This window comes from Homo sapiens, chromosome 3 (assembly GCF_000001405.40).
Source record: "Homo sapiens chromosome 3, GRCh38.p14 Primary Assembly".
Lineage (NCBI taxonomy): Eukaryota > Metazoa > Chordata > Mammalia > Primates > Hominidae > Homo > Homo sapiens.
Genome location: NC_000003.12, coordinates 80,050,355 through 80,062,771, shown reverse-complemented (window position 1 = coordinate 80,062,771; position 12,417 = coordinate 80,050,355). Strand labels below are relative to the sequence as shown.

The 12,417-nt window shown below is 35.6% G+C and overlaps 1 annotated feature.

Annotated features, from left to right (window-relative positions):
* Positions 9,792-10,291: an enhancer, noted in NCBI's record as "H3K4me1 hESC enhancer chr3:80101631-80102130 (GRCh37/hg19 assembly coordinates)". NCBI's record gives its function as "activates a minimal SCP1, AML or CMV promoter by ChIP-STARR-seq in primed H9 embryonic stem cells {active_cell/tissue: H9 hESC(primed)}" and the evidence as "EXISTENCE:reporter gene assay evidence [ECO:0000049][PMID:30033119]".

The following is a 12,417-nucleotide window of genomic DNA, read 5'->3' as shown; positions in this document are numbered from 1 at the left end:
TTGGCATTGCCAGGTTTCGATATAAAGATGTTTATAACATCAACTAAGGTTAATATCATAGCCATAAAAAAAAAGTACAGTTCAATACATGCAATTCTATGACAGGTTAACCTGATATGGTTCCAATATACTGCTTTCTTAGGATTTGATTAAATATGGACTACCATGAGAACACAAGGGACTGAATCTCTTTTAGGCAATTCAAAAAAAGTATTCCAGTAAACTAAGGATAATTTATCAAAAGGTTACACTTTTCTGGCAAGGCCTTATTGTATCAACATTTGTATGTGAAGTGCAGGAGTTACATTGTATACATTCCAGGAACTGCAGTTGATATCTTCCTAAAAACATTGAATAGGCCATTCAGCACAACTTAATATAAGGGCATCTCACTTCAGCCTGTACGTTTTCCTTAAGAAACTATTCCAAATTTGCTCTAACACAGAAGTTAGTGCATTCATATGGCCCAAGGATTGTGTTCATATACTTCTGTTCATTCATGAGTTAATTAATTTGTTAAATTATTCAATTATGTAACATATATTTATATGAATATGAATTTTCATACAAATGTTATTATTTTGTGATTGCCACTATGTGCAATAGTCTATAATTTTACCTCAACGAGAATTTAAAGCAGCTTTTACCAACTTTCTACCATGAGTATTTTAAAAATCAGAAATATTACACATAAAATATCTAAAGACAAGCAAGATAATACTCCATCAATGAGACTTCTAGATAAATAAATTGACACTTCAAATATGGAGAAATCATTTAGAGCTATGGAAACATTTTTCAGAGATAATTATTTTAATTTGAGAATGGTTTGCCCAAATTAGTCTTCCTGAAATCAATTTTGAAACAATTTCTGTTAGCATTGTGGACATTAGGAAATTTCTTCTCTTTAGAGAACTAATTATTCTAAGTGATCAGATAGTCGCATAAGTGCTAAATTACTTAATTCGATAATTTTTCATTTCTTTTATCTTTCATTTGTAACTCTTAGAAAAAAACAAAGAATTGACTTGCATAATTATAAATCAACAATTGCTAATCAATAGAGAATAAGAAAGTAAACTGTGAATGCCATGAATATTTCCTATAAATTTGACTCACTTTGCTATTTAATTTTCCATTTTCACCTTTAATAATAATGTGAGATTTTTTATTATCACATGGATGTTTCATGTAATTACATAATTAGATGCACTTATACTAATTATGTATCATAATTAGAACAGGTAATTACTATGTTAGCATTTATAATTACATAGTTGAACACTTAATGCATGCAAATGTACTTTTCACTCAGAGTAATGTATGCTACACAATAAGTACTTTTTCTTAACCTTTTATCAAATCAAACTCTGATAAATTAATAAAAGAGTAAAAATAAATTTAGATTTTTATAAACCTGATTTGAAATCAAATTTAGAAACGACTGAATTGTTTTCTCAATTAATAAAAAGTATTAAGTGGAATTTAAATTAGAATCCCCAATCTATGAAGACATATTTAATATGCAGAATGTGAAACTTAAAAGTTTTAAGTTATTTCTCAGTAGTTTTGGGATTTGATCTTTTTGATATAAAAATAAAAGCTTTTGTTTATCTGTGTTCTCAGTCAATACAGAACATATTGAAATACTCAAATCCAGACTTGGGATTTTTGTGTGTGTGTATGAAAATAAGTTTAATGAATGAATAATCATTAGAAAATTTTATTATAAAAAGGCAACTACATATATTTTTTGATAAATGTATGTCCAAATCTTATATAAATCAATTAACCTAGTTGATAAAGACCTAATTGTTCCTTTTTGTTTCTTGGTAAGCTTCTCAAACTTGTTCCTATTCCAGAATAAACAGCCTGTAGAGGTAGGACTTAAGAAAGTGTATCATATGCCCATATTTCCACCTACTGGACATGCAATTTTTCTGATGTTTCTGAAATCTGGATTCGGTTCAAATATTCCACAAAAATTTTACATTAGTGATTGCAAATGACTTCTTACTTGATACATTTAGTAAATTTTTATTCCTCTTATTAGATAATCTTTCTAGTATTTTTTGTTTGTTTCTTTCTTCAAAGTATTTTTAAAGACTCCTGACTTCTTCTTCTATAGGATCTTTCCTCTTGGATACAAAAATTATAGATAATGTAACAGGCAGTATGAATGGACGCTGAAGACTAAAAATGATGTAATAAAAGAATTATTATACCTATTTAATAGCCCTGCATATAGTTGTGCTTTTAATCCTTAGTTTATCTAAGTCTGTAAATGTATAATTTATGTAAAATGTGCAAAATGTAGATAAAAATAATACCTATGAATAAGATTATTGCCTGCATTTTTTACTAAAATATTTCTTAATTGTCAGAGGTTTCAATACATAGAATATATGGAAATACAATATCTAACAGGTATGAAACACATACCCGACATTTTTTGAGAAGTAAATTAATTCCTTTAATTCTTATACCAGTCCCATGAGGGGCAGATTTCATTGTTATTTCCATTTTAAAGAAGGCAAAACTTAAAACAGTGTTTTTTGTTTGTTTGTTTCTTTGTTTGTTTTTTAGTACTAACAGATTAATGACACAATGTCTTAGCAATGCAAAATCTAATTGTAAATGATACATGTGAACAGAAAAAAAATACTCATTTTTATGAAATGACTGTTTAAAAGGATTTTCATTTCTTATCATTTTCTTATCTTTCTTATGTTCAATGGAGTAGCACTTTTAATTTTCTTGTAAATTTTTTCATTGCATTCACAACTTGGCTCACTTTTTGGAGCAAGCAGTCTAGCTTGTGACCTAGGTTTGAGCCTGTGTTGGCTTTTAACATGACTTCCTCATTTTAAGCTTAATCATTTCTAGCACTTGATTTAAAGTGAGAACTTTGGAAGGCTGAGGTGGGAGGATTACTTGAGCCCAAAAGTTTGAAACCAGTTTGGGCTACACAGTGAGACCCTATATCTGCAAAAAATTTAAAAAAAAAAAAAAGCCAGGTGTGGTGCAATGCTCCTGTGGTCCCAGCTACCTGGGAGGCTGAGGTGGGAGGATAACTTGAGCCCAGGAGGTTGGGGCTGAGTGAGCCATGTTTATCACACCACTGCACTCCAGTCTGGGTGAGAGAGCAAGAGCCTGACTCAAAATAAACAAATATATAAAGTAAGTAAGAGATGTGTGATGCTTCCTTTGTGTTCAACACTTACAGGCCATCGTAGGGCTATTAATTGGCCTACTTTTAATATTGCTGTGTCTCAGAGAATAAGGAGACTCGAGGAAAGGGAGAGACAGGAATGGCCAGACAGTGGCCAGTGGAGTAGTCAGAACACACACGATACTCATCAATTAGGTTTACTGTTTACTATGGGCACAGTTTATGGCACCCCAGAAGAATCCAATAGTAACATCAAAGATCACTGATTACAGATCACAATAACAAATATAATAAAAAAGAAAAAGTTTGAAATAATGCAAGAATTATATGAAAATGTGTCATAGGGACATGAAGTGAGCACATGCTATAGGAAATATGGCACTGATACATGTGTTCCACATAGTTTCCACAAACTCTTAACTTGTAAAAAACACAGTACCTGTGACGTGCAACAAAGTGAAGAGCAATAAAACAAGGTACGCCTGCAGTAATAGTAGTCACTAGTAAACGAAAGGACAATCATAGTAAACTTATGTCTGATACACTTAATTCAGCCCAATCCAAAACTACAAGTCTATGAAAATTATGATTTCCAAGAAGGAACTTGCTATATTCTTTGTGAACTAAGACCTGGGGAGGACAATAAAATAGTAGAAACATCAATCTTCCTTCATATAGCCATGAGGGAATTAAACATACACATCTCTTAACCAACACTTTCTTTCTATTTGGTAGTAGAGCTACTCAGATGATGCTTTTATTTCCACTTTCTTAAAACTTCTACTGTCCAGGTAACCAATGACTTTATCATGACAAATTCAATGATAACCACTCTATTCTCATGTCAACACCATGTCACACAGGTAGTCCCATGCACACTCTTGGAAAACTTTCTTTACTTAGCTCAAAAGACACCAACCATACTATCTTGGTTATAGCCACTTTACTTTGGTCATTCTTTCAAAATTTTCTTGGATTTTTTTCATCCTGTTTCCTAGAAGTTAATGTTGGAGTCCTGGTGCTCAACAATTACCAAACAAAATTCTTATTATGTGCACACAGAAAAAATGTAAAAACTAATAATTTATCTGTTCTTACAGTAAGTCGCCACAAATTTCAAAGTAATAAAATCACATGGAGAATTTTTATATTCACAGTGAATTTACATTAAAATTGATGTAACAAAAAAGATTAATAGATAAACAACATAGGTTTCTTCAAGCTTATGGAGATATATTTGTCAGCCAAAAATTGTATATATTTAAGGTATACAACTTCATTATTTGATATATGCATATATTATAAAATATTCACCACAATAAAGCTAATTAACACATCCATAACCTCATGTAGTTACCAATTTTATGTGTATGGCAAAAACTCTAAGCTCTAATCTCTTAGCTGTCTTCAAGTACCAATATATTATTGTTAACTGTAGTCACATTATTTTATATTAAATCTCCTGAATTTACTTATTTTGTATAACTGAAACTTTGTAAATCTTCATCAAAATTTCCACACACCCTCCTTGCCCAGCTTCTGGTAATCCCAATTCTATTCTTTGTGTCTACGAGTTTGACATTTTTAGATTCCACATGTAAGTGGAATAATGCAGTATTTGTCTTTCTGTGCCTTGCTTACTTCCCTGAGCATAATGTCTTATAGGTTTATCCACTTTAGCTTTAACTAAAAAATTCATCTTTAAAAAATGTCTGAATACTATCACATTGTATATATATATATATATATACCACATTTTATTTATCCATTCATCTGTTAATGGACACTTCAGTTGATTCCGCATCTTGGCTAATAATGTGAAAAATGCTGCAATGAACAAGGGAGTGCAGATATCTCTTCAACATACTGATTCCATTTCCTATGAATATATTCCACTAGTAGGATTACTAGATCACAAGGTAGTTTTCTTTTTAACGCTTTGAGGAACCTCAATAGTGTTTTTCATAATGGCTGTACCAGTTTGCATTTACACTATAAATGAATGAATGTTTCTTTCTCTCTCCATTCTCACCAACACTTATTATCTCTTGTCTTTTTAGTAATAGCCATGTTAACAAATGCAAACTGATGTCTCATTGTGGTGTTGATTCACATTTCCTGGATTATTAATGAAAACAAGCACATTTTCATGTATCTGTTGGACATTGTTAGTCTTCTTTTTAAAATGTCTATTCAGATCCTTTGCCAATTTTTAAATCAATTGGTGGGTTTTTTCTTTACCAATTTCTTTATAAATAAATCATAGATTATGGTTCATGTTAAAATTTAAAAAATATGCATTTGACAACATTTGAACAAAATTAAAATGTAAATATCATCATGCTGAAGTTTTTATTAAAAAATTGCAAGAATAATAATGACTAAAGAAAACTTATTTACAAATATGTTATACTAGAATGTCTCCAATATACCTCCAATATAAAAAGGTCAATACCTAATAAAAAATGGTTGAAATAGTAAATAGAAAATTCATGACTATGAAATAATAAAAACAGCCAATGAGAGTATACATGAAATTATATCAAAAGTAATATCTCCTTTGTTTACTTATCAGATTGAAAAAAACTGACAATATTGACTGAACTTTTCCTTGATGACAATAGTGTGATTGTGATATTATTAGCTGTATTTGGAATAGTAATTTATCAATGTATCTTAAAATCTAAATGCTGCATTTTCTTTGAACTATCTGTTCTAGGGATTTATTCTTATTATATAAATAAGAAATGCAAATGCAAAAAAAATCAATCAATCTTTCATGGTGAGACATACTATATGAACTAAAATTTCATAAATACAGAACTAAATAATTTTAGAATAAATACCTGTACTTTGCATTTATTAGATAGATATTAAAAACATCTGACAACATCAAAGAAAAATCATAACTGTATGACCTGAAAAAGGTTTCTGAAACTAAGATAGGTGTCTTTATGTATAAAATGAAGAAAATCATTACTAACATACATGATCCAAATACAGATTAGGTGATAGAATAATAGCTACTAACATTTACCATCTATTGTATGTTGCTTACATCTTTGTTTACTGTATCTGGCACATAGTATGTGCTCACTACATGGTAACGCTTCATATAAAAGAGGCAAATATTTATTGAAAAGAAAGTTGTCATGTAATATTGTAATAGGCCACAAAATATTTATAAATTTTTTCTATTGCATATATATCATCATCATATATATAACATATATAACATACACATAACATATATAATATACATATATATAACATATATAACAGTTTATAGATATATAACATAATTTCTGAATTTCCCAAAATGCTATCAATGTTTATGTCTGGATAATGGGTCTTATGATTACTTTTACTGTACTGTGTGTATGTTTAAGTGTTTGATAATTTTAAGATGAGTAGGTTGTTTTAAAACTGAAAGAAAACCAGTAATAAAGTAATTTTAATTTTGAAAAACTAGTAACATTGCATCAACAACTTTATTTTTGAGTAAATTAGGAGTTTAGGAAATTCTGTATGCTAAACTTACACAACTTATTTGGAAAATATGGATGGAAAGTAGAGATAATGATGACATAATTATATAAAAGTTTTAATAAAATGTATTTTCTATCCAAGGGTACTGTGTGTCTTGAAAAATCATGATCTGAGAATTCTTAGATTAAAACTAGGTCTAACAATAAAAGTTAAATACTAATCAAAATTTCCAATTAATATTTTTATTGTGCTATATCAAATTAAGTGTTCAAAGGCATGACTTGTCTAACATGCTTCCCTCTAAGGACTTTTAACCTTTATTATCTTTTCTTCCTTTGATTTTGCCATGATTCAAATAAATCCTCTTTATGATTTTCCAGCTATGAATATGTATTTCCTAGCCTCCTCCTTTCACAAGGGCACGTTCCATTCTATTTATCATTCTAAGAGGATCTGGACGTTTTTTTCTTCCTAGCTCAAGCCCCTGTTTTGTTTTGTGGGGTTTCTTTTTTCTTATATGACACCATCTGCCTAATAGGCTTTACCTTTTTAGATCACCATTGTAGATTCTTCTGTACATCCCTAGAGACCATGGTCCATGTTTTCTCATCTTTAATGAAAATCCTTCTTATTTGAAGCAGATTTTAGCAACGCAATTTTCTGCATGCACTTAAACATTTACATACAAAACAGCCTGATAATTTTCTATTCTTCTGGCATTAACATATTTTGAATGGGCAGGAATCTCCTTTCCCCACCCAGTTCACACTTGTAGATCGCTATAGGACTAAAAGGAGATTAGTGTGTATTAGCATAAACTCTGAGAAAACGAGATGTTGAGGCATGTGTGGATATTAATCAGATAAAAAGTCCTTAATCTCATGATTGTATCAATAATTATCTTTAAAAGTGTATTATGTGTTCAAGAAAATAATGCTTTAATGATACACAACAACTTAATTGGAGTCATGACACTGTGATTTTAAATAGAATTGGAAAGAAACTGCCTTTTAGCACTGAAGTCAAATTTAATGGTAATTGACAATGGCATATTCTTACAACACGTGAAGGAAGCAGGACATTTTGCATCCATTAATGATCCTTTATTGCATTTAGGATTGAGTCCCCAAATTCTGCAATAACTAGCAAATCTTTCTTACTCCCCAGTTCCATTTAGCAGAAAATCGAATACATGGGAATTGACTTTATGTAACTTTCCAGCCTTTTGTACCATAAGAGAGACTAACATTTGGAGATCTGATAGAGAAATGATTAAAGTAGGAGGAAAACTTCATGTGTAACCCGTTAAGCTGGTGTTTTGATCAAAAGCAGTATTAAAAGCAGTATACTATTTTGATAAAAACATTCTATCCAGAGATAGGAATTTTAATTCTAGTTCTGGCAGTAATGGTGACTTTAGTTTGTCAGAATCTTGATATCTTCTTTTGTTAAATGAGGGCAGTATACAGGATAATTTTGAAGGTCTCATAGAGCTGTTTTAAAAATCAATCTTTCTATGTTATATAAAATTGTATTATACTCTGTACTATTTTAAAAGTGTTGGAAATAAGAGGAGATCGATTTTAAAATCTATGACTTTATTAAATTTACTTTTAAAATTATTGCGCCTCTCTTTGGTGATTCTAACAACCAATTTTTTTTCACATTTTCCATGTAATATCTGAGAAGGTGAAGCTATACTTCATCAGGAAAAATACAACAATGGAGGCCCTCTACCATAGTAAAAATGGTGACTTCACACAGTCTCACTAAACGGCTTAGAAATTTTAAATAATACTACATGTGATATTCTCTATGTACATAATTTTATTTCTGTTTTACCCAGTCTTGGCTATTAAGAGTGAAAATGTTCGTTAATAGTATTCAAAGAAAAATTTCAGTTTAAAAATGTGTCAGTTCTGGTCCTCTTGGAAGCAGATGCCAAGACAAAAGTAGAATTGCCAAAAATTCATTGAGTGAAATGTCTGTAAATAATAAAGAGGACAAGGAGCAGAGGAAGGCAGGGAGAGCTTTGAGACCCCTATCCATTGCTGACACTTATGATACAATTGAGGTCTGGCAGGACATGAGGTAGGAGGAACCTCATATTCCAATGCAGCTATGAGAAAGGTTCACTCAAGCCATAGCAAACTCCATGGCAAATATTTCCTCTTAGAAGTGCCCTGCATTGGGCAGAAATGGCTCAGGTCTAACGTCCCTCCTCCGCTCACTCCTTGACTTAGAGCAGTCAGAAGAAAGCCTAACCCTGGCATGGTTAGATACTTCAGTGAAACCCGAAGACACAGCTGGTGGAGGCTGTCAGCCGACTATACCTACTGCAGCAGATCTGACACCTTGACACCTCCATGGCTGTCACAATTAGTGTTATTTTCATCTTTACAATTTTATGTGTTCTACTAATTGGATATAACACATATTAAAGAGTTGACTTTCAGGAAAAATAATGAAAGTACTTGAAACAACATTTTTTCCTTGTTAAATTCAAAGTAGATGATTCCTTGAGAAAGATTGTACCCCGGGCAGTTTCCTATTTAGTAGATATATTCCTACTAATATTTGATAAGACTCAGTGACCAGATATTCTCTTTATGAGTTAAGAAATTGATTTGAAGATAGAAGCATTTACTGAGTATAAACTATCCCAATTTCTTTTAAATTTTATGTAAATTATTTCATTTAATCCTTACAATAGCTTTGTGACATTTCATCTCAACAAAGGAAAAACTAGAATATTTTGGTAGGAACATCACAGACTAATTGAACTAGCAGCCCATTAATGCACACCTGTGGGCATCTTAAAGAAAACTGTGCTTGATTGTATGTCTTGAATTAACTAAACATTATCTGTCATCAGGATAAAATGACATCAATTCAATCTTACCATAGAAATCAGAAAGAAATACAGTCTTAAAGTCAAGTGCAAACCTTGGGTAGTGCCATATATAAATGTGCACAGAAAGTTAACCTTGAAAGAATTTCTAAAAAAATTACTTTTCATGATGTCTATTGGGTTTCTCATCATTACTGCATAGCAGAAAATGAGTAAATATACGTATTACTGAGAGATGTAAGAAAGCAGATAAGGAACAGATACTGGCAAAAATGTCAGCAACAGCATATGAAGACCCCAAAGTAAGAATATGGAAATTGAAAAGTGAATAAACATATGACATCAATACAAGAGACCAGATGATTGAATAATATTGAAGAACCTAAATAGGAAGAAAATCAAAGGACAGAAATGGAAAACTGAGATCTAATAAATAATTTAAAATATATAAGCAAATGATTCCAAAATAACAAGATGGCCTACCAAATTACAGATTTGAAATACAGTTGATCCTTGAACAACACAGGTCTAAACTGCACGGATCCACTTATCTTATGGGATTCTTGGGGGTGTTGCTTTTCTGGCCAGAAACTTCTGTGGCTGGTGGCGCCTTTGCCCGAGTTTTGCTTGAGTCCACTGTGCCCACTCACCTTGGCAGGCTGCGTTCAGCTCACACTACCAGTTTGGATCCCACGCCTCCGAAGAGACTGTAGCATAGCGGCAAGGGGTGTGTGAGCGAGCAAGTGTGGGGTCCGGAAACTGTGCAGTCAGGCACGCCGGCTGCTGCAGCAAGGTGGGCGGGTCCAGGTGCTGGCACAGGTGTTAGCTCAATGCATAACTGCAGCTGGACCAGGTACACAACTGGCACCAGGGAACTCGGTGGCACCTAGAAGCCTGGACACTCAAGGGTCCGAAAGGGGAGTCATAGCCGTGGCTCGGGGGGCTCCCAGGTATGGGATCCCTGAAGGGCCGCAGCTCTTCTCCCTGAAGGACCGCAGCTATTCTTCTCTCCTTGTCACCCACAACATGGCGAGCAAGGGGTGTGTTTCACCCCTGTTTATATTACAGCTCTTTTAGCCCTGCTGTTTGGTGGGCCCTATGTCCAGGAAGAATGAGGTATAAAGACAAGTGGAGGGTGAGCAAGACAAAGAGGAGCTTTACTGAGTAATAGAACAGCTCAGAGGAGACTTACAGTGGGCAGCTCCTCTCTGAAGCCAGGGTGTCCCCATGAGTGTTCAGCTCTCAGCAGAGAGGGTAGCTCTCTCTGCTAGGCAGGTCATCCTGCCGCGTGTCCAGCTGTCAGCAGAGAGGGTAGTTCCTTTCTGCAGCTGGTTTTCTCATCTCTCCATTGTCTCTCCATTCTCCGCGGAGTCTGGGGTGGGGGTAGTGGGGAGGGTTTATGGGCCTCAGAGGGGAGGAAGTGCATGCTGATTGGTCCGTGGGCAGCCACGGGCGGGCCCAGGGAAAAGAACACAAGTTCCCGCTCTGGCCCACAGGATTGGCAGCCTCGCCCCCAGGCCTCAGGCCCTCCCTGGCTTGAAGGTGAGGCTTCACCAGAGACCAGCCTCCTTCTGCCCAGGAGCCTGTCTGCCTTCTGCCACTATTCATGGCACCCAGGCTGTTCATGCCAAGTGGGGCCTGCAGGCCAGTGCTGAGCTGTCCTCAGCACCCTCTTAGCCTCCGTCTCTTGCTTGTCAGCACCCAAAGTCCAGAGGTGACTCTGGCGGCGGGGATGGGTGAGTCAGCGCTGCCCCCCTAAGCATGTGCACAACCTGGTGGTCTGTGACAGCGCCCAGCATTGGCCGCGACTTTTCTCCAAGATCCAAGAAGGTAGAGACAGCGGGGAGAAGCCAGGCAGCGGAAGCAGGCGTTTCCAACCCGGAAGGTAGGAGGCTTCCCAGGCCCGAGAGTGCAGAGATGCCTGGGTCTGCAGCCGCACCCGGGAAGCTCCCACCCCACCAACTTGGAAGGGTCAGGGCTCCTGCTTGTCCCTGGCTCCCACCAGCTTTGTGGAGCATGTAGCCCCAACTGCATCTCCTCGCAGCCTGGGGCAGGGGCTCCAGGTCCTCGCTGGACCCCTCTCTGCTGCCTCCTCTGTGCCCGACGGCACTGCTTTCCCATCGGTGGGCGGCTAGGCCCGGCCCATCAAGGCAGCCCCCCTAGGGCAGCAGGCTCCGGAGGGCTCCCGGGGGCAGGCTCCAAGGACTGTCCGCCTCCTCCCCACAGTGGTGGTGGGCGGGAGCGATGATATGAGGTCAGTGTCTGGACCAGTGGAGGCTCCGGGCCTTGGAATGGGTCCCTTCCGGCCACACGCAGGTGGAGACAGTGCAGTCAGCTGCCTCGGGACATGGGGCACAGGGGATGCAGGGCACAGGGGTGCTATCGCCGCCACTGCCACTCCCACGGCTGCTCCTGCCACTGCTCTGACCGCTCCGGACAGCCAGCAGCTGCCATCACTTATACAGAGATTTCTTTCAACAAAAGTTAAACTGAATGTGCCTGTGTCTCCTGCCTCCCCTTCTACCTCCTCCTCCTCCTGTTCTGTTTCTGTCATCCCTGAGACAGCAAGACTAACTCTCCTCTTCCTCCTCCTCCTCAGCCCACTCAAGACAAGAATGAAGGCCTTTGTGATTACCCACTTCCATTTAATGAATAGTCATAATTTATGTTTGTATAGCTATTGATATTTAACAATATTATTGTACTTGTTGAATAATATAATTCAGATTATTTTATAATTTTATTAACACTATTCTAATTTATCAGCAGATGCATAATTAGTCTGTGTACCCAAAAAATTAATATTTGACAATGGCTAAGGAGATAGATTTAATCATATTTTTAAAAATGGAAATAAATAACATCGTGTTATTTCTTGAATTCTAATTCAGTTAAAGAGCACATC